The following is a 23,173-nucleotide window of genomic DNA, read 5'->3' as shown; positions in this document are numbered from 1 at the left end:
AGGAAGAGGAGGGGCTGCTGAGAAGCAGTTCAGAACAGTAACCAGGCACGTAGCCTTTGCTGCCAAACAGCCAGGTTCAAATTCCAGTTCAGTCCCTTACTAGCTTTGGACTTTCTCACTGTCTTAGCTCCCTCACCTGGAAAATGGGGGTAGATCCTGCCTACCACAGAGGATCATTGAGAGGTTAAAATATGTTATTTGTATAAAGCCCTTAGAACATTATCTGGCACAAAGTGAGTGCTATAAAAATAAATTTATTATTACTACTTTACTGCAGCTGTCATCACAACCATGATCATCAGAGTTGATCACTTCAGAAAGCTCATATTCTCCCATTTGCCCCCATCTCCTGCCAATGCCTCCCAGTTTTGACCTCCACCAGCCTCATACCCAGAGCAAGCAAGCTGATTACTGTGCAGTGGACCAGGAGCAGAAAAAGAGGAAATACTGATTAGGAGGGAGACAGATTTGTTGTTAGCAGAGTTTTGCCTGGAAAGGGAAAGACTCTAGATTTTAACCAACTAGCTGGTGAAATGGAAATAGCACCTACTCCAGAGCTGGACAAATTTGGTTTCAAGTGTCAACTGCTCAAGGTATTCAACCACTGTGAGTCCTGGCGTTCTAACCTGTAAAACAGGGTCACTGATATACTTCTCAGAGGGGTCATGTGGACAAGATACAACAGTGTGAAAGTCCCTGCACAGGGCCTGCACACATAGGAAGCCACCAATAAATAGTAATTATTATCGTTGTTGTTAATATTCAGTGAGACTCAAGTATTCTCCTGGCAGGCTCTGGAGGGTGTGGCCCATGTAAATAATCAAAGGATTATTTGAAATCTTTAAACAACTCCTGGTCATGGCTCTTGAGAGCCCAGGGGAGTGTTAGGGGCATGGGAGATCCCTGAGTAGCTGAGGAAGTGATGGAACAGCTGAGAAGCCTGTGGACAGAAATGTAGGAAGTGATGACTAAACGTGGCAAATAGTTCACCTTAGCCTTTTGTTTTAAAATGGAATAGGATGAAAGTAAAATTGCACCCTTACTTTTCCCATGAAAACACTGGGAAAGTCAGGCAGCATGGTAGATTTGGAAGGTGTCTTAAATATACAGCCCAGCATCCTCAGGCCACAAAGGAGGAGTTAATCCCCAGTGGTCTGGCCAACCTCCTCCAGTGAGCTAGTGGCAGAGCTGGGATGAGAGCTGCCCTCTTGTCCCAACCCAGGCCTTTCCCCCTGCTTTCTACCACTGGAAATGTTTGGGATTAATGTTTAACTGGAGTTAAGGCCTGGTCCTGACAGGAGACTAAATCTGCAGGAGGTCAAACATCATCTTGGCTTACAACCAAATGCATGTCTCCTCTCTGCTTTCCTGAATGTGAAGCACAAATGCAGGCAGGTGGTAGGAGCTGTCTATATCAAGCGGCACATGGAAACAGACCTTGAGTGCTCAGGTCCTGAAACAGAACACCCAGAGCTTCAGAGCTCTTGCCAAGCAAAGTTTCCTTCCCAGGAAATTTCTAAGGCCCATTCTTTACAAAACATAAAATATCTTCAGAACCCATGTGCCATTCAGAAGTCCTTATCCCACCCAGACCTCAGATCCACACAGAGAGCCCAAATCCAGCATGTGTTTGCAACTCATTTTGAAAGGGAAAAATGGTAATTGTTCCAAAAGAAGTTCAGCTACTTACTGTTTGGAATTAATCATTAAACAAATGTTAAGTCAGTTTCAGCTCAGAGGTTGGAGCTGTTGGCTGTTCCCCCACAGCACCAAGACAAAAATCTCCAGTCAGCCCTCTTGACCAAGTTAAATGTTTGAGTCACAGAATCCTTGGAGAAAACAGATCCAATGCTATCTCCTCCATCCCCTTTGCTCCAACACCACTACAAGCTCTTCAGGTTAAATACATTTAAATGACTCCCAAAAGAGAGTAGAGGTCCTCAACCCACGCAGCACAGTAGAATCACTTGGAAAGCTAAAATATTCATCCCAGGACCTACTCCAGACCAATTAAGTCAGAATCCTAAAAATTTTAAAGCTCCCTAGTAGTTCGATTGTGTATCCAGGATTGAGAACTCCTGAGTCACACTTTGGCTCAAGGACCTGAAGGGCCAAAGATTGAACCAGAAGTCACCACTGTGGGGTTTAGGACCATGAACTCTGAATTAAACTTAAAGAGGCTGGGGTTCAATTCTGTCTCAACTCCTTGTCAGCTGCATGATCCTGAATAAGCTCCTTAAACCATTTCCTCAACTGTTGATGGTAACAACATGGTACTTTCTTCATAGGATGGTTTTGTGAATTAAAAGAAAGGAATTATATAATGCATTAAAGACAGAACACAGCAACACTCAAATGTTAGCTATTGCTATTACATAAAATTCACTTCTCCACTCACAAGAGTTGACAAGCATTTACCGTGCTCTAATATTAAGATTGCTTTAAGGGCTTAGATGAGTGATTCTGAGAGTCTGGCCATGCTTCAGAACTACTTGTAGGGCTTGTTAAAATGAAGATTCTCAGGTCTTACCCAAAGACCCCATGGAATCTTGGGTAGGGCACAAGTATCTGGGTTTTCCACAAACTCTCTGAGGGACTGCGATACCGAGTGGGCACTGGGAACCACTGTTGCCAGGGCATCTTCCTGTGACTAGCATCTTAAGTCTACCGAAGGACATAACTTTGCTACCAATTAGATCCCTGGTTCTGTCTCCAATGGTGATGTCATATTTCAAGTGAAAAAGGAGACTAAAAACAAGAAACAAAAGACCTTACTGAGGTCCTAGGGCTATTAGTTGCCTATATTTGCTCTAAGTGTCTTGAATCCAAATTCAGGGGCAAATTAACCATGAAGCTAATTAATTACAACTCCCATTATAATTAATGAAAACCACCATCCTTTTTGATTTAGTCTTCCTTGAATGTAGTATTGGAGTGGCTACAGGCATTTTTCAGATCCAGCCATGAAGTTGAGTGTGAGAGACATGCTTCATTTTGGTTTGGTGGGATATGTTAATGTGGTTGGCATCAGTTTCTCATGTAGGTGAACTACTGCAGACCAACCTGGTACAGAATTGCCTTCCAGAAGCAGTGTGGCGATTCCTCAAGGATCTAGAACTAGAAATACCATTTGACCCAGCCATCCCATTACTGGGTATATACCCAAAGGATTATAAATCATGCTACTATAAAGACACATACACACGTATGTTTATTGTGGCACTATTCACAATAGCAAAGACTTGGAACCAACCCAAATGTCCATCAGTGATAGACTGGATTAAGAAAATGTGGCACATATACACCATGGAATACTATGCAGCCATAAAAAGGATGAGTTCATGTCCTTTGTAGCGACATGGATGAAGCTGGAAACCATCATTCTCAGCAAACTATTGCAAGGACAGAAAACCAACACCGCATGTTCTCACTCATAGGTGGGAACAGAACAATGAGAACACTTGGACACAGGAAGGGGAACATCACACACTGAGGCCTGTTGTGGAGTGGGGGGATGGGGGAGGGATAGCATTAGGAGAAATACCTAAAGTAAATGACGAGTTAATGGGTACAGCAAACCAACATAGCACATGTATACATAGGTAACAAACCTGCACGTTGTGCACATGTACCCTAGAACTTAAAGTATAATAATAATTAAAAAGTGGTTAAAAAAATTGCCTTCCAGAAATATTCTTGAATTATTTTCTCGTTCTAAATAACTCACTTTTCTAAATAATTTGGAATTTGGAATTCTATAATCTTTTACTTAAGTAAGGCCCCAATAATTCCATAAGCTTCTGGCCTCACAAATCCTAGACCTACTCCTAGGCATATGATATAAGTGCAATGAATCCTTTGGAATCAAAGCTCACAATTTGAATACCTGCAATTCAACTTGATAGTTATATGCCCTGCAGCAAGTTATTTAATCTCTCTGTTCCTCAGCGTCTTCATTTGTATAAAATGTTAGTACCACCCTCCTCACAGAATCATGAGAATTACATGAGATCCCATTGGTGTAGTGTTAGAAATATAACAGAGTCAAATATATGTGAATTCTCTTCCAATATATATGAATCTAGTCTGAGTATAAATGTCATTAGAGAGTACCATACTAGCTTTGTAGGTCTCAAAGTGTAGTACCCTGAGAACTTGCATTAGAACTGGGGACATGAGAGATGGAGAATAAGGGAGGTTATTTAAAATACTCCACATCCAGTGAACCTGTTTCTGGACACAGGATGACCCATTGGATACTCAACAGCCCTTCAGAAACCCCTACCAAAGTTGAAGGTCGGATGAACTTCAGTTCCCTCCCAACTCTCAGAGATTTTGGATCTGTGAATTTGTAACTTTCTCATTCAACAAACTCTTTGAGTACCCACTTTGTGCAGGCATTGCACTAGGCACTAAGGACACAGAGATGACTCAGATGTTTCTGTCCTTAAAAAGCACACAGCTTAAAACACATAACAAAATAGAATATGGTAAGTGCTGAGACAGTGCCTGCTACTCTTTTTAGACACCACAGGTGGGAGCGTGTCTGGAAAGCAATAAAGAAGAATACAGAATTGAGTGTGGAATGCTGAGTAAGAGTTTTCCAAGTGGCAAAAAGAGAGGACATTCAAAACACAAAGACAAAAGGTGCAAAGGCCATGATATGCCCTTGTGCCTTCTCTGCTTTCTCCTCAGACAAGCAGCTGGGACAGACACAACCACCCCAGCCCATGGCCAGAATGTAGGACCCAATCAACAGAGGGAGCCAGAGGGAGGGAGGCTGTCTCTGGGCTCCTCTTCAGCCTGGGAGAGGGAGAAACTGATATGAAGGCTTAAAAGGAGAAATATGCCAACATAATTGAGAAGCATTAGTTAAATCAAGCCTGCTTTGCAGTTTAGCCTGCATTCTTCTCCCTTCTTGTATTCCTTGAGCAAATCCTTGCATTTTATTTTGTTCAGAGAATTGTACAGCCTCCTGTTTTGGGAGGAATAGGAAAGCTTAGGCAGAGACTGAGTTTATTTAGAGGCCATCTTGTCTTGATGCCTGCTGAACACTGGCCAATATCTTTGGTGAAAAAACAATAGAGGACCCAGATTCTCCTCCTGCTTTTCCAAGGATCATAGGCAGATGCTGAGGTTCACAAGATTCTAAGCGGACACAAAAAGAGACTAAGGGCACTGGATGGGAACCCAGAGAACAAACCTCCGAGTTGGTGGTGAAGGTCATGTTTGTAGATCTGTTCCTCCTCTTTCTCCTGATAATGCTACTGCTAATTATTATGGGGTATAGGTTGTTATGGCAGCAGCATTAAGTGATGTGGATAGAGCTTAAGCCATACACAAGTCTATATGAAAAAAAATAAAAACTTTTCTTTCAACTGGGTTTGAGACATCCCATGTCTTACAAACATGATGTCAGGGAGCCATATAAGGTCAATCGATCACCCAAAATGCCACATGCCAGATGGTCTCTTTATTCACTACATCACCACATCCCATGGACCTCAGGGACACCACAGCTGCCAGGAAGGGAAGGATGTGTGGAGATGGAGAAAGACGGTTGATATTTATAACATATACCCATAAAGAAAGATGATAGAGGCTCTGGGGGCACCAGATTTCTGTCTCAAGTGGGAAATGAAATCAGAGGGGCTAGCCACCTACTAAAAATGCAGACACCGGCCGGGCACGGTGGCTCACGCCTGTAATCCCAGCACTTTGGGAGGCCGAGGCAGGCGGATCACAAGATCAGGAGATCGAGACCATCCTGGCTAACACGGTGAAACCCCGTCTCTACTAAAAATACAAAAATTAGCCGGACGTGGTGGCAGGCGCCTGTAGTCCCAGCTACTCGGGAGGCTGAGGCAGGAGAATGGCGTGAACCCGGGAGGCAGAGCTTGCAGTGAGCCGAGATCGCGCCACTGCACTCCAGCCTGGGTGACAGAGTGAGACTCCGTCTCAAAAAAAAAAAAAAAAAAAATGCACACACCAAGTCCCAGATAGGATAAGTGACTCTCCCAAGGAGACTCAGCAGCTAATGCAGGGGCCAAGACAGACCTCGTGAGCCAGCTATTCCCATTGAACAAGTGAGCTTCCTCATACTTCCCCAGGCCTGCCATTTTGGTCCCTAACCATGAAGCTCACCTTGGCTATGATGCGGCACAAGGGAGCCCCCTCCTGGGTCAGGCTGAACAGGTTCCCTGTGGTGGACTCTGTGGTGTAGATATTGTCTGAGGCATCAATTTTTCTCACCAGTGCCTAAGAAGAGAGAGAAAAGTTAGCTAGTAGTTACTCACCACCTCTACCCTCTGCTCATCTTAGTGGAACACCAGTGGGCCCATGCTCCTAACAGCAACCATGGAATCTACTCCTGCCCCTAGCTACTGCCTCATTGTGAGTGCAATGAAGTTCTAGCTTTGGGAAAGGTATCAGTCAGGGTGAGGTCTAAGCTACATTTTAGAGATATGGGATAATATCAAACCCTTGATACATAGGCCATAACTAGCCTTGCCCTAGTCCCTCAGAAAATCAGCTCCCAACATTGATGGGCTCAGCAAATACCATTTTGTGAATCTACTGGTTCTTAATAAGAAAAGAAACCATCAGTTAAATTAGCAAACCATCAAATTGAAAACGAATGAGTGGCTACAGCTATGACCAAAGAATCTGCTCATTTTGAATGGCTATTAGCCAATGGTGAACTCCAGCTGAGTGATGGGTTCAAGGGTTAAGTCAAGAGAAGTGCTCCACAGTAGTTTACTGCTTGAGGGATATTTTTCTTGGACATTTGCTCTCCCCAATAGCTTGCTGCTTGTGGGGTAAGGCCAAGATGAAATAGCAACACTGGGAGTCCCGTCAAAGGGTGGGAAACTAGGTGAGGAATGCTATACTGATCAAGGCTGAAGAATGAACCTGAGGCTAGTGATGAGAGGGTCTGGGAATGACTGAACATAAGACCAAGAAGAGAGGTTCAGGAAGGAAAGCAAATGAAAGATTCATTAACAAAAAAGATACAAAGATTATTTCTAGAAAAGTTCAGCTAATTTCTGAGGGAAAGGTTTTTATGTAACTTGAAACCACTTCATCATCAGCCATTTGCTTTGAAGCATGTGATTCATTGAGTGTAAAGGATTCCTTCCTGCTAATTAATGCCAGTAGCTCAAGTTTTCTTCTAGAAAGAATGGAGTTAGAGACTAAGAAGAGCAACCTTCGAGGGCCTCATGCAAGAAAGTAAGACCTCCAGACCTGGGTGCTCTGAGCAGCCACTCATGTGGTTTCAGTTGCCAGGTTTATTTTAAAACATTAAAGTGAAATTTAGTTTTAATTAAATACTAGTATTATGGAAAAGACACTTAAGAGCAACACTTGGAGCACCTTAGCCTTTCTTTGCCTCAGTTTCCTCATCTATACAGTGGTGTAAAAATAAGCCATCTGCAGTGGCACGTGCCTATGAGTTCCAGCTATTTGGAAGATTGAGGCAGGGGGATTGCTCAAGTCCAGGAGTCCAAGAAATAGCCTGGGCAACATAGAAAGACTCCCATCTCAAATAAATAAATAAATAAATAAATAAATAAATAAATAAATAAATAAACAAAATGGTGTAAATAACAATTTCTATCTTTTAAGGGGGTTGTGCCCATTTTTTAAGGTTGTCAATATATATAAAGGATTTCTAAAGGTACCTGCCAGGTGGAAGCTAAATAAAATTGTAAGCAGTTACAGTTTTGTGATCTTGTACAGTTAAGCTCCCCACACTTTGGTTTCCCTGTTCGTAAAATGATTAAAATTACGAGCTTTGAGGCTCAAGGTAAGTGGCTCTCCCTTTTGTCTTCTTTATTCAAATTTATGAAATTCCTCACACACGCACAACATGCTAATCTAGATATAGCAGTCTAAGATTAATTGTGTATTTAATCAAACTACATTAAATATAAAAATTATGCTCTAAGTTTTGACAGATGCCTCTTGTTAGAGATTCAACAAAAGGTAAAATTAATAACCAAGATTTGTCACTACAAATCCCTATAAAGATCACACTTCTTAGAATTCTTCCCCACCATTACCACAAGCAGCTACACATGTGATACTAATGCTCACATGAAAATGCAGATTTCACATATTGGGGTCCTGTACCTAAATGATAATTACCTAATGTTCCTGATTAGTGTTTGCACTTGAAGCAAATTAGCATTACATTAAACAATTCGAACCCAATGTCTTTTGCAATCAGCTGCTAATATTAGACAATTTAAGTCTGAGAATAATTTCATGTTAATGTCTATACACATATATACAGTAATTACACCTCAGATATGTCTCAGTGAATCAGATCTCTGACAAAGAAAAGTTGTAAGCATCCTTTCCACAGTGTAAATCTGGAAAGATATGAGATCAAAGGCTCCACTGAAATCTTCAAGGCCCTAAATATCACCATGTGTCAGAGCCGGAAAGGACCTCGGAAATCATCTGTCCAATCTTCATTTCATAGTGGAGGAAACAGATGCAGACTTGACTAAGGTTACCTATGTGGTCTTGGGAGGAGCCGGGCCCTGACCCCTCTGAATTTGACATCCCATTTTTGAAGGTCAGGAAATCCATCTCCTTTAATGTAGGCAGGACCTCACCTGGACTAGTGGAGATTGAAGCCTCAAGGCAAGGCTGTTGTCCAGCCTCATTAGCAAGTTTTGCCAAATAGGAGAGTGGGTCTCCATCCTGGCTTCCCATTCCCTTCGCATCTAACACTATGTATTGGTAACCCGAGCTTGTGAGTGGGGGCCTTGCAAATGCCCCTCTGGATCTGCCCTGTATTCTTGCCAAGGCCACACTTCCCCTAAGCTACTCCAAGCTATAACTGAGCACAGCATGACTGTGGGACAGGGGACTCCTCAAACAGGGGACTTTGGCTTGATTCCCTGTCTGAGTCTTTTCCTTCCTCCTTTTCTTTCTCAGATGTCAGACCTACAACATGGCTTTCCATGCCTGCTTCTGCTTCCTCCTCTGCATCCATCATAGGAATTGCCTATCTACTCCTACCTTAGTATCGGCCTCAAACTGACACAGTCTCTACAAAATCAAGGTGATTTTTTTCAGGAAATCAAGAAGACATTGGAGACGTTTCAAAAATATGCCTCACTCAATATCATGAGAAGAGTGGTAAAAGACTGAAAAAAAGTAAAAGAAGACAGGCTGAAGCTGAATGACAAACATTTTCTTAAAATGCATACTAGGCAGATATGAAACAAAAAAAATAACATCTTAAAGACCAAAGAAAAGGGATTAAAAGGGGGCTAAGGAGACGCATGCAGTTTAACTTCTCTGGATAAGGAATTAGAAAAGAAAAAATGTATTTTTCATTGTCTGTCAATCTGAAAACGAGTAACTGCAACCTAGTGAAATCTATCAGAAGGGAGGTAAACTCTCAAAAAGCAAACTGGCATGAGTTCCTCAGAAGGAGCCAGGAAAATATTGTGAGACCTCTCCCTAAAGTTTTGGATGGAAAGTCCATAAGTCAGACATAGTAGAGTAGCCCATCTGTGCAAAGGGGTTACATAAAATGCAGGTAGCATTGACAGGATGCAGTAGATTAAAGATGGTTAAAAATTCTTTTCTACTTCTTTTATAGAGAGATGAGTTCTAATTCCCCTTCCCTTGAATCTGGTCTTAATGCCTTGCTTGACCAATAGAAGCAAGCATTTGGCAGAAGTAATGTCCTAAGATTTCCAAGGCCAGGTCATAAAAGGCCTTGAAGCTTCCACCCAGGCATCTTGGAACTTGGAACACTGTTTTGGGAGCCCTGAGCTTCCATATCAGAAGTTTGATAACTGTGAGAATGTGATGCTAGAAAAGCCACGTGTAGGATCCCTATCAATACTCTCAGCTAAGGTCATCCTTCCAGCCATCCCCTCCATGGCACCATACATGTGAGTGAATACCACTGTCTAGCACTCTTCAAGCCATCTGCCAGCTGAATACCACATCTGTTGTTGCTGCACAGAATGGAAGAATCACTTAGCCAAGCCCTGTCCAAATTACTGACCCTTAAAATCATGAGATATAATAAAAGCAATTGCTGGGTTTTTTTTAAAAAGTATTTTAATAGTAGAGTTCGGAACACAGGAAAAGACCACAGAGATCATCATGAACTATTCGAAAGATTACTGGATAAACCATCTCAGGTGAAAGTTTTTGGAAGTGGGGATGCAGTATTTCCTTTGTCTTAACAGAATATGCTGGAAAAATGCATGAATTAGGACTCTGAGGGAAGGCACAGAAAGATTGGATGTACTGAAGAGAAAACAGACAAAATAATAATTATATCTAGGTTTAGATGAGCTACTGGTCAGATGGGAAAATACCTCCTAAGTGGGAATATCCAATTTAGGAACATAAATGTGGATAAGATCTCTTAGAACTAAAATATTTTGACAGACCCCAAACTTAATTGATTTCGTTTCTCTCAATCAGGGAAATCCCAACATCTAGATTAGTTTGTTGGAAAAACAAAAGAATGTGTCAGAAAGCGAAGGGAAATAAAAGCAGAAAAGTAGCTCAGATCCAGATGCTGCATTCACTCTATAAGTTAGGAAAGAGACCCACATGAGAAGAAGAGTAAATCGTTAGAAATTCAAATGAGTCTCTCTAAAAGGAATGTGGGATTAACAGAGGGAAAGAGAACATTGGGGGCAGAGTTCATTACTGGAAAAAAAAAAAGTAGCAGAAAGAAATCCTATTAAAAACTGGTATATTCAAAAGCTATAGGAAGATGCTATTCTGAGAAGCCCCTGGCAGAGGTACTGACCCTCGTGGACTCAGAATTCGGGAACATCAAGAGTGGCCTCAGTTCAGGTATCTGCTGAGGATGATGTTCAAATGCAGCAAGTGTGGAAACCAAATGGAAACCCTTCCCAGCAGGTAGGGATCTTAAAGTTTAAGCAACCCTCTAGTAAGAAGAGGGAACAATAGACCTCATAATACAGAACTAGAAGCACCTGAGTATCTTATGTCAAAAGAATTTTTTTCTCATTTCACCCTAAAAACATTTTGAAAAATATATGACCCCTTGCACATTTTTAATTTGACAGCTAAATTTTTTTATCATAAGTTTAAAAAACAAAGTTGGAAAGAATGTAATTTCCAGAAAATTGCAAATGTTGACATAAAATAAAATCATTACATCACTCTTGCAAATGTATTCAATAGATTCTAAATACCAAAACAACTTAATACCATCATCATTCACTTAAAAATACATGAATAATCTCTTTTTTAACATTCTGCATCATTCATTAAATTTATATTCCCATTTCAATTTTCCTTCAGAATTTAATGTAATATATTTAAGTTTTAAAGTGTTTTATTGATCACCCTTATCACACTTATCATTGAAATTTGAAATGTTATTTCCTGTTACTATCAAGCTCCGTGTTAAAAAAAAAATCTTTTCTTGGTTGAGGATTATTATCAGCCCAATTGGTCAAATGAAATAAATACATTATAAATTTTGATAAATAATTGTAAGTTATAAAAATTTTATTTTTAAAATAAATATATCTCTAAATGAGATGAATGAGGCTTTTTATCATTTTTAGGATAATTCATTTATGTATCCGTGATTGAATATTGACTTAATGCTATATTTTAGATGTAAACTCTGAAAAATCTTGTTCCCATAAATCAATAGAGGGAAATGAGAGGAGTTTGTGTACTACATTGCTTAACCCCTTGAGTCACCTTCTAAGTTATGTAATCACATAGCAATCTATCATCAAACACTATTTTTAATAATCTGACAGCTGATAACTCCTCTAAATTGGTCCTCTTCTAAATTGACAAAAGCAAAGAATTGGAAAAGCCTTGACTTGCAGAATCATTTGTTACCCAATCTTTAGAGGTGTTCATTTACTTTCTCAATTTCTGGAAAAAATTCCAAAAGTACTTTTCCAAGACTTATCAAATAACCATTAATTGCAACCACTACTTTTTCACTTAAGAGTACCTTGAGTCACCCGAATTATTCAGAGAGGATTGGGAAAATCAAAATATTATTTATTTCATTGCCAATACAAGTTTTAATAAAATATTTTTATTCTTCAAATATGTTTTGTTGAAAGCTTGAAGCTCCAGCTTTTACTTACTTAATTTGTGAAAAATACTCACTCTATAACCTAATTGGCAAAGACAGTGCTTTCAGTCAACCCAATCAGCCAAGTCAGAGTTAACTTTTTCTCAGTAAAGACCTGACTTCATTTCTATTTAAGAAATGTTTCACTGGATGTGGCGGCTCATGCCTGTAATCCCAGCACTTGGTGAGGCCGAGGCAGGCGGATCATGACGTCAAAAGATCAAGACCACCCTGGCCAACATGGTGAAACCCCGTCTCTACTAAAAATACAAAAATTAGCTGGATGTGGTGGCGTGTGCCTGTAGTCCCAGCTACCTGGGAGGCTGAGGCAGGGGAATCACTTGAACCCAGGAGGCGGAGGTTGCATTGAGCCGAGATTGCACCACTGCACTCCAGCCTGGTGACAGAGTGAGACTCCACCTCAAAAAAAAACAAAAAGAAAAGAAATATTTCTATATGTATTTCAAGAAATGCAAAAACCTAGTGACAAACAATTGTGAAGATCATTCTCTATGGGAAAAAAAAAATCCAAAAACTGTCAATATTAAAATAAATTAGACCTAAAATAAAATCTGATTTAATTGTATACATTATAAAACCAAGATAAAATAATTTACTGAAATTTGTAATAATGCAAAGTAATATGTAGCTAACATTCTAAGTTAATAAAAAATCTAAGAATATGATTTAAAAAGCACAGTATTCCTTTAGTAAATAGGTACATATATATTAAACTTTGGTGTCTTTAGGGAATCATTAAATAAGAACTGAGAATTTAAAAAGCATATGTAATTCAATTAATTTTAGTAGCTCTCATCGTCAAATTTTTCTATGTATTTAAAGAAAAAGAAAGGTATATACTGCTTAAATCTAATTAGCATAACTGCTAGCAATTAATTTTTTCTTTTGTTAACAGGCAGTAAAAAGTAGTATAAATATTTCAGAAAATATTTTGGCAAAATAGACTTTAATTGTTATCTTAAATAATATGCACCACATTTTTTTAAAAATGTAAAACCTGTATCTGTATTTTATCCAATATATCTTGAAATTTTTGGTTGTTCTCAAAAGCATGTTACAGTTACATTTAAAAGAATCAGTGTCATTAACCTTTAGAGTCTTTGGCTCTTCAAAGATATTTTTCCCAGCTAATATCACATCCTAGGGATGAGTGTGAAAAATAGCTGAAAGGAATTGCCTGCATTTTAATGTGTGTCCTAAAAAAGCAATTTTTAGTGCTTGATGTATCCTACCAGTGCTCTCTTTGCTTTGGTCTAAGGAGAATGTCCCTCAAGAGCCACACACTGTTTGAGAATAAATGGATGGAAGGGATAAAATAAATTGAAAACTTTTATAATCATCCCTCCAACAACACACATACACACACACACACATACACACACTACAATATATCTGAATTGAGAAGCTGCTCACACTTGGAAAAATACACAATTTATTTTTTTCTGGTTTTTTTTTTTTTTTTTTTGAGATGGAGTTTTGCTCTTGTTGCCCAGGCTGGAGTGCAATGGCAAGATCTCGGCTCATGGCAACCTCCGCCTCCTGAGTTCAACCAATTCTCCTGCCTCAGGCTCCCAAATAGCTGGGATTACAAGCATGTGCCACCATGCCTGGCTAATTTTTTTTATATTTTTAGTAGAGACAGGGTTTCTTTATGTTGGTCAGGCTGGTCTCGAGCTCCCAACCTCAGGTGATCTGCCTGCCTCGGCCTCCCAAAGTGCTGAGATTACAAGCGTGAGTCGCCACACCCAGCCAAAATACACAATTTCTAATGGCATACTCAACATAAATATGTATAAAGCATGGAAATAATTCATGGAAGCTTAAGGGTCTTAATGGTTCATGAATGAAAGCTTTTCCTTTGCTTGATTCTCCACTCCCATACCAAGATTTTTGTATGGCAAGGCAATGTACTATAAGATTTGGGATGGATGAAGAGTATGCCTTTTGGAAAATAATAGAAGGCCTATAAAAAACTCAGTGAATTATTGGGAAGATCATTTTTAAGAAAGAAAACAAATGAAAATTGAAGATCTGGAAATAAGATTTCCTTAAAACTGTATGTGCTTGCATTTCTCCTGGGAAATCTTTGAGAACCTGGGGAATGCAGTGCATTTGAAATGGTTTGAAGACTACTGGTCTGTCACTTCAAGAAGCCCAAATCAATGCATGCTGGAGTGGCAGAAACACAGTGTTTTCAGGGAGCTAAAAATTAAGATGTTTTGAATATGCTGAATGGGAAAGAATGCAAATCAAGCAAGTCCTAGTAAAGAAGTTGCAAATGCCTGACTTTGCAGGAAAAGGAAAACAGTTCAAATGCCCGTCAATGAGAAAGGAGGCATTTTTTTCCCCATATATGGTAAACATAGTACCACAATTAACCTGTGGTGGATGTTTTCCCCCAGTGAGTGTATGTTCACAAATCTTTATAGACTATAGACAACTGAAATAAACTGACTGACATCCTACCAAGGCTGCAACCAAGACAGTCTCAGTCACATCCTTTTTTTTTTATTGGCTACAGATGAGCATGTATCTGTTAAGGCCTTTGGCAACCCTAAGGATGACATCCTGGGACAACAGGTTGCCTGAAGTTCCTGGAGTTCTGTAGGCATTGAGGATCAGCTTATTGTAACTTTCTCAGAATATATGTGTAGTGCTGTGATAGTATTATGTATCCAGAATTAAGGGCTTTTTGAACCCTTTTAATTATGGCTGGGAAAGACTAGTACAAATTGAGAAGTCCTGAAGGAACCCCTCCCATTATTGAAGAGACAGCCTGGACTACAGCTGCTGAAGGAAACCCAACTCCCCACACACTGGAATGAGGCCCTCCTGGCTGAGATGAACAGAGTATGAAAATTGAAGAGATTGTACTAACCTGAGAATTTGGGACTTTGGATTATTCCTAAAAGTAAAAAGATTGAAATTTGCTTCCTATTATATTTCCCACTCTCCCACTGAGCAGATTTTGCTCAGCCATGTTGCCCAATATAGGTAAGTAGAAGCTGCAACGAGAGTAAATGGCAATACAAAGATAATCCAAACATACTTGCATGATGACAAACATAAAGATTTCCAAAATTTTGATATGCTCCTATCCCATTTTAAAGTTACCTGGGAAAAAATAAAGGAAAAGAAAAAACTTAAATCCTTTTACTCTAGGAATAATCCAAAGTCCCAGATTCTTGGGTTAATACAATCACTTCAATTTTTATACTTTGTTCATCTCAGCCAGGAAGGCCTCATTCCAGTGTGTGGGGAGCTGGGTTTCTTTCAGCAGCTTTAGTCCAGGCTGTCTGTACAACAATGGGAGGTTCCTTCAGGACTTCTCAGTTTGTACCATTCTTTCCAACCATAATTGAAGGAGTCCAAAAAGCCCTTAATACTGGGGTGAAGGGGGTGGGGAGATTTGTTCCTCTGCTCAAGAGCCCACACGACTTCTTAGTGCTAAAAGAATGTTTCTCGAATTGCATTTCCTAAAACACCAGCATCTCAGAAGAAGTAAATAGGTGCTTTAATAATATTTTTAAATCTGTGACCCTGAAAGTTTGGAATATGTTGCTTAACATTCTATGCCAGATACTGTTCTAGTCACTAGAGATATATGCACGAGCAAAACAAACCAAAACCCCTGCCTATGGAAGCTGCAGGTCAGACAAGAAATACTATAAGTGCTTGAGGACCTTTTGGAAGATTTGCAAAGCAGACCGGCACATCATAAGACAAATTTTGATGTAAAGAAATAGATTTGATTTCATTTACATCAAGACGGCACAAATGTAAGATCCTGGTATAATTACTAACATCCTAAGGAACAATATTTGAGTCACTAGTTTAAGAAACACATGCTTACAACACTGAACACAAGTTACCCTGTCTTCAGTCAATATATCTCCTGATGTCACTGCTGCCCTGTATGGAAACTTTCTAATATAAAAAGAAGCCAAAGATCAGCCAAAAATATATTATGAGCATGGTAAGCTCAGCCCTTAAAAGGGCATGGAGGAAATCATGGGACTTGCTGGCAGGGAAGGGGGAAAGCACCAGGAATGGGGGTTATCAGGAAGAAAACTAATATGCAGATGAATGGAGGACAACACTCTGTGGCCACCACCCCCCCCCGCCCCCCCCCTCACTCCTACCATGAGAGGGAGGCCAATAAGGAACCCACTCTAACAGGGCAGGAGCTGGTCTACTCAGCTTCCAGGCCAGGCATCAATGAACCAGGTGGTCAGACCTGGCAATAGAGCAGGGAACAGCTGGGGAAGTAGGAGCACCAGATCAGGAATTTCACCCTGAATATGATCAGAATGAAGAAATAGCAGAATGGATTCAACTATACAGCCCAAAGGCCAGGGAAGTAGGCTCCAAGCAAGCCCAGGGAGATTTTCCCAGGCTCTTCTGACCTAAAGCATCAAAGATACCCTGCCTCTTTGCTGCCTCATAGAAAGCACTGATGACTAATTCCAAACCCAGCTGGCTTTCACTCACAGTTTAACACCTCTTTTTCAGCCCTTTTTGTTTGTTTGTTTGTTTGTTTTGTTTTGTTTGTTTTTTTTGAGACGGAGTCTCACTCTGTTGCCCAGGCTGGAGTGCAGTGGCGCGATCTCCCCTCACTGCAAGCTCCGCCTCCCAGGTTCACACCATTCTCCTGCCTCAGCCTCCTGAGTAGCTGGGACTACAGGTGCTCGCCACCATGCCCGGCTTATTTTTTTTGCATTTTCAGTACAGATGGGGTTTCACCACGTTAGCCAGGATGGTTTCGATCTCCTGACCTCGTGATCTGCCCGCCTTGGCCTCCCAAAGTGCTGGAATTACAGGCGTGAGCCACTGCGTCCAGCCATTTTCAGCCCTTTTAATTGAACCTGGCACTTTCAGGAAAGTGGTCACAAAAATGGCATAAAAAGCAACAGCCAGCACCTGTACCCCTGCTCAGAAGTTGCTCCAGGTCTCCCTCTCCACCACTAACTCCAATATTTCTTGCTCATCAGTCCCTCGACTTTTTTGTCCATTTTGGTCCTTGTGTCCCTTGGGTCCCTCTGGACTTGATGGTTGATCACCACCTGCCCCTGCATGTGATTGTCAGCACTGGCTCATCAGCTCCAAGTGCTGCCCCAGCACCCCAGCCTGTGGCCCTTCCTTCCCTTTGTCCCTGTCAAGACATGGAGAGTGGCCCTTGAGGACCTTCCTGTTGTTGGGGTCGGGGGTGATAATACCCAGGACCTGCTGCACTGACATGGGGGCCTGTGGGAGGAGTGGGGGTGAGGCAGGACCAGCATGTCAGTCAAGCCAGAAGGGCCTGCACCAAACCAACCAAACACTCAGGAAGGAGAGAAAGCAAACCCTGGGCTCGGCAGAGAGGCTGAATTTGGAGAGGAGCCGACATGGAAAGAGATTTGTTATTTGTGGTAGGCTTTTATTTGGTGGTGGGAAAAGAATGGCAAATATGTAACACAATATTTCTGTAACTATAAATAACCATAAATACCTTTCATAATGAAAACCTTATGGAATCTGCTTTACTGGGAGGTTTTTAAAATAGCAAAGGGTAAGGGAGGGAAATAACATGTATTTAACCCACACTATGTGCTAAACACCTTCCATATGCCTTTGCTTAGTCCTCTCACTTTTCTTCTGGAGAAGGTTTACCAATTTATAGAGGAGGAAAACGAGGCTGAGAGAGGTTCAGGAACTTAACTGAGGCTCCATGGTGAACCACAGATAGAAAGTAGATAGGCCAGGCTCCAAATCCCTCCCTCTTTCTGGAATCAAGCACAAGCCTGCCTAGAGGCAGGGGCTAGACTATATGATCTTTCTAGATTCTTCTCTGTTGTCAGGATTTCTAGAATTAGCTTATTCCCTGCAGGTGCCTCAATTCTTTCAGGATAGTAAGGACCCATCGGGTAAACTGTGAACATTAACTCAACAGAGAAGAGGGGGATCAGGTTCCAATTTACTCCTGTGGCCTGACAGTGTTCTACCCAGGAAAGCAAAAGACCTCAGGGAGCTCAGGTTTTATCTTCAGGACACAGGCTCTGGGAAGGGTGGGAGTAATAATGAAAGTAGAATTGGGAGATGCTGGGCTCTGCCACCATCTTGCTGTGTGACCTTGGATAAGTTTCTCCCCACTCTGGGCTCCAGTTTTCACATCTGGAAAATGCAGAGTTGGGTTAGGTGCTCAGGAAGCCTCAGCCCAGCTCTGACAGTTTTGTTTCACAAATGCTGGAGTTGACTTTGGTGGTTTGAGTAAGATGTTTCCCAATAAAGTCCACATCAGTAGCTTCCCCAAGCCTGGCTCAGCCCCTCTTTCTCTCCTTTCCTCCAAGGGTCCACACAAGCACCCCTCCCTGCAGCCCAGCCTGCACTGACCTGAACCTCCCGTGTCAGGGCCAGCTCCAGCAGCTGACCAAAGTGCTGGCCCAGCATGCTCAGGGTCTCACTCACGCAGGCCTTCATTGACTTCAGGACATGCTCATTCTCAACCTGAAGGCACCTGAAGAGAAGAAACCATGGGGTGGGCCACTGGAAAGGGCATGTGGTCAGCCCAGAAATGTTGCACGGGCCAGAACTGGACCTGCTACAAGCCTGGTGTGTGCTGAAGACATTGGCAACTGGGAGTCAGAGATGGAATATTCCACAGCTGGCTTGCCCACTGGTCTCTTAGTGTGCAGAGATGTGCTGGCCTGAGATGAGGACTACCAGTCCACATCAACAGGAAGAAAGGCCATCAGAATGTGGAAAATCTATACCTCTGGGCTTCTCCCTGCAGAATCTGCCATCATTGCAGCCAGGGTCTATCTTCTCTGTGATGTTGGGGTGGGAGATGAAGGGGCAAGAAGCTTCAAAGAGAGGTGCCAAGTGCCAGGTATTGCTAGTGAGCTCTGAAAAGGTGGATAGCAATGCCTGTGGCCCTTTAAGAAATGGCTGCCTAGAGTGTGCAGAGAGCCTTGAGAATTTTCTTCCCAGACAAGAAAAACAGAGGGGGATCAGGTTCCAATTTACTCCTGTGGCCTGACAGTGTTCTACCCAGGAAAGCAAAAGACCTCAGGGAGCTCAGGTTTTATCTTCAGGACACAGGCTCTGGGAAGGGTGAAGGAAAAAGTCAACACACACCTGGGTGTGTATACATGTGAGGCTGAGTGTGTGTACATATCTGAGTATAAACATATGTAGGTTTATGTGTGTGAAATATGGAGGAAAGGGTGTGAATGTATTTCTGTGCTGGTCCAAGCATGTGTTTATATATCTGTATATGAGAAAGTGAGTGTGGGCATTGAAGTCTATGTGTATGTGCGTGTGTAAGGGTGTGAGTGTCGGCTTTCACCTTGCCTTGACTCTTGCCTTGACTTTGGGGATCTGTGGGTCTTCCCAAAGCTGTGGGAAACCTTTTCCTTGTTACCAACTCCTAGAAAATCCTCTTTCTTCCTATGCCCAGGCCTCTCCTCTGCCTTTTACCCTATCCCTAGGGCCTGAACATGGGGCAGAAAATTTCAAGAGAATATTTTAAGATTTCTGATAAAAGTCAGAAAAAGGAAACTCTGAAACCACCACCACGCCTCCCATTCCCATTCTCCCTCTGGGAGAAGATACCAGCCCCTTCTCCTGCCAGAGGTCGGGTGGGCAGACCCTGGGAGATCTATGGTCCAAATTTACCTCTCTGTGACTGCCGAGAGCTCCGAGCATTTCTCCATTAGCAGCTTCTCAATCTGTAGAAAAATAAGTCCATTTTATTCAACTCAGTAAGCATTAACTGAGGACCAACTGCTGTGCTGAGCACACGGGGACATTAAACATGAAGAATCAATTAATGTGACTTGGGGAACAGGCAGTTAAAATATAACACAGTGTGATACAGGTGGTGAAAGAGCTCACGGTAGGCTGCTTTGGGAGTATAAGAAAATGAAACTGAGCAGTTATTTATGCTGAGGAAGCTGGGAAGCTTCAGGAAAGAAGGGGCATTTGAGCTGGGTTTTGAAGAATGAAGAGAAGTTTTAATGTCTGCAAAGCTAAGGAAGGAAAAGTTCGAGGCAAAGGGCAAAGCACTAATGTGAAATGAGAATGATGAAAGAGAATTAATAACAAGGGAGATTTTTAATGGTTCACCTTGGGCTTTGAGAAGAAGATTCAAAGTCATGGGCTGTGGACTCAGAAAAGCTTAGATTGGACCCTACTTATTACACCATTCACTGCGTAACTTTAAATAAATTATTTGGCCTCTTAGAACTTTTGTTTCCTCATCTATAAAATAAAGGTAATCCTAACATTTTTAATCAATTGCTTTAAGTGTTTTGCATATAACAATTCATCTAGTCCTCACAACAAATTTATAAAATAAATTATATTATTATACCTTTTAGGATGAAGGAACTGGGACACAGAGAAGTTAAGTAACTTGCTGAGGTCCACATAGCAGAGCTAACATTTCAACCCAAGCAGTCTGGCATTAAAGTCAATATATTCAACCACTGCACAGCTTCTCAAAGTAGTGGCACCTACCTCACAGGTTGTGCAGGTTAAATGAGATACATGTAAAAAAAAAACACCTAGCACAATGTCCACCACATAGTAGGCACTCAGTAAAGATTCCACTCTCTTTCTTTCCTCCTTTACTGGAAGGGGAGAAAGGCTTCTGGAGCAAAAAAGATTCAGACACCACATGATTCAAACCCACTCTTCTCTAAAGCACCCTGACTTCCAGTTCCCGCCCACTCCTATCCCAGGGCAGCTGACCTCGCCCATTTCCTTCAAGGAGTTCCTGCTGACAGCACTGTACTCGCTGACCATGGAGCGGGCATGGCAGGTCAGACGCACGCTCATGCTGTGCACCCGTGCCCAGCGGTCCTGGGCCAGCTTCTGCCCGATCCTGCGCAGCTCTGTGCTAATGACCCAACCCCGTTTGAGCAGCAGCTGCAGGGGGTCTCCAGGGCCAGGGCCACCTGCCAGGATGAGGTCACCCTGTGCATCCTCTTCCAGGCTGATGGGCTTGGCCTGCAGGACACACATGCACTCGCACTCGGTCATGAGCTTCAGATCTTCCATCCAGCGCTGGACTGAGTCCACCTGCATCAGGTGTAGCCTGCAACCAGGAAACAGCACCACGATAATTATCAACACCCCATGATTTCCAAAGGTCTCAATTCTAGGCCATCTGATATTTACTAAGCACCTATTATATGTTTAGCAGTGTTTCTCCCATTCATGCACCTTGATATTCTCAGTCATTTCTCATTCTCTTCATCTTATGGATAAGAAGTCTGAAGCATAAAGTTTTAAGGGCAGATGACCAGACTAACAAGCAACAGGTAATTATGTCTGACAGAGTAGCCAATGATCTTTACAATAAGGGGGAAATGGAAGGGTGAGGCAGGAATATTGCTTGAGGCCAGGAGTTCAAGACCAGCCTGGGCAACATAGCAAGATCCCATCTCTTTAAAAAAAGTTAATGGAAATAGCCTAAATATCAAATAATGGTTACACTAAGTGAGCTATGGTATAGCTATGATTATGTAGTACGCAATTATTTAAAATGATGCTTTCCAAAAGTTTATAGCTAAGAAAAATGTGTGTGCTAATATGCAAAAATGGAAATGTAAACACACAATTATTACAATAATGTTAGAAAGCTCCATCTAGGAAAAATATTTAAAGGAAACACATTACAATGCTAAAGGCTCTTAAGGAGTAATGTAACTAAAGTCTTTTTCATTTTTTTCAGCTTTTCTCTAGTTTCCAAATTTTCTATAGTGAGCATGTATATTACTTTTGTAATGGAACAAAATTAACTATATTTAGTACAACAGCATGAGAACATAGATTAGTTCCTAAGATCTTAATCAAATAAAATGCACTCTAAAATTCACTGAGTCAAGTAAAAGTCAGTAATATCAGATCATTGATAAAGCATTGTATATTTGTTGAGTCCCTTATATTTCATATAAGTGCCAGGCACTGTGGGAAAAGCAGATATGAAGATGTTAAGCCTCCACTCTCGAAAAGATTTTGATCTGCCTAAAGAATCAAGATAAACTAATGAGAAGTTAAAAGACAATTGTTATGTGTCAATTAAAAGTAAAGCTTGAAAACAAAACTAAACTAAAAAGACAATAACAAATTTCACTATCATTTCACAACAGAAGACATGCATAGCTAATGACTAAGGCTGAGTGCAAGTTCCTTTGTCTTTGGCTTGTAACAGTATTCTGATTAGTCTTTCTGCCGCTGATCTTACCTGCCTCAAACATTCTTCACCTGCCACCAGCTCATTCACTCATCTACAAATATCAGTACCTACAACATGTCAAGTATTGTTCTAAGACCTAGACTGTAGCAGCAAACAAATAATCACTTCTCTAGCCAATGTTACATTCAAGTGAGAGAACAGTCAATTTTCAAAATAAATGAGCAATGTATGTAATATGTTGCAAGTAGCAAATGCTAGGAAGGAAAAGAGAACAGAAAAAAAGACTAGAGAGTGCTAGGGGTGGGTGGGGGAGTAGACCTCACAATTTAAAATAAGAGGATCAGAGGAGACTCATTGAGAAAGAGACACTTGAGCAAAGACTTGAAGCACACGACGAAGGATGCCATGTGGCTATCTGAGGGCAAATTGCTCCAAGGAGAGAGATCAGCAAGTGCAAAGGCTCTGGGGGCAGAAGTGTCCTGAGATGTGCAAGGAATAGCAAGGAGGCCAGAGTAGCATGGGAATAGTCAGCCAAGGTGGAAGATGAGTTGAGAGCAATGAGGTGGGGGTGAGGGGAGTAGATCCTATGGGGCTGTGTTGGACAAGGTGGAGATTTGGCTTTTATTCTGAGTCAGTATAGCAAATAAAGGGCACCAATGAGGCCAGCCTGGTGAAGCAAAGGTACCAAGTAGGGTTGAAATTATAAGGCAGACTCCAGTTATCGAGGTTAAAAAATCATGTCTTCATGTTTACAGTTATTTAATGAGAAGGAGCAAGACTTTCTGAAATATGTAACCATTTGACTGTAGGCTTTTAAATGTAATTTTTAACCACACATCTTATGTTTAATT

General features: G+C 41.4%; 1 protein-coding gene across 11 annotated transcripts in view, besides 2 other annotated features; it reads right to left on the bottom strand.

Moving 5' to 3' along the window:
* Positions 1–23,173, bottom strand: part of INSC (INSC spindle orientation adaptor protein) — a 158,261-nt gene that overhangs the window by 72,718 nt on the left and 62,370 nt on the right. For 10 of the 11 annotated variants that reach the window (XM_006718227.3, NM_001031853.5, XM_017017698.2 and 7 more), the window contains 4 exons: positions 20,873–21,218; positions 19,796–19,848; positions 18,512–18,635; positions 6,145–6,258 (listed from right to left, as the gene is read on the bottom strand). In XM_006718227.3, coding sequence (XP_006718290.1) covers positions 6,145–6,258; positions 18,512–18,635; positions 19,796–19,848; positions 20,873–21,218 — 637 coding nt within the window. Of the gene's footprint in view, positions 1–6,144; positions 6,259–12,436; positions 12,542–18,511; positions 18,636–19,795; positions 19,849–20,872; positions 21,219–23,173 lie in introns of all 11 variants that reach the window. The other variant, NM_001278314.2, reaches the window with a different exon arrangement.
* Positions 20,495–21,016: an enhancer, noted in NCBI's record as "H3K4me1 hESC enhancer chr11:15197489-15198010 (GRCh37/hg19 assembly coordinates)". NCBI's record gives its function as "activates a minimal SCP1, AML or CMV promoter by ChIP-STARR-seq in naive H9 embryonic stem cells {active_cell/tissue: H9 hESC(naive)}" and the evidence as "EXISTENCE:reporter gene assay evidence [ECO:0000049][PMID:30033119]".
* Positions 21,017–21,540: an enhancer, noted in NCBI's record as "H3K4me1 hESC enhancer chr11:15196965-15197488 (GRCh37/hg19 assembly coordinates)". NCBI's record gives its function as "activates a minimal SCP1, AML or CMV promoter by ChIP-STARR-seq in naive H9 embryonic stem cells {active_cell/tissue: H9 hESC(naive)}" and the evidence as "EXISTENCE:reporter gene assay evidence [ECO:0000049][PMID:30033119]".

This window comes from Homo sapiens, chromosome 11, assembly GCF_000001405.40.
Source record: "Homo sapiens chromosome 11, GRCh38.p14 Primary Assembly".
Classification (NCBI taxonomy): Eukaryota; Metazoa; Chordata; class Mammalia; order Primates; family Hominidae; genus Homo; species Homo sapiens.
The sequence above is the reverse complement of the archived record's forward strand: the minus strand, read 5'-3'. Positions and strand labels throughout refer to the sequence as shown.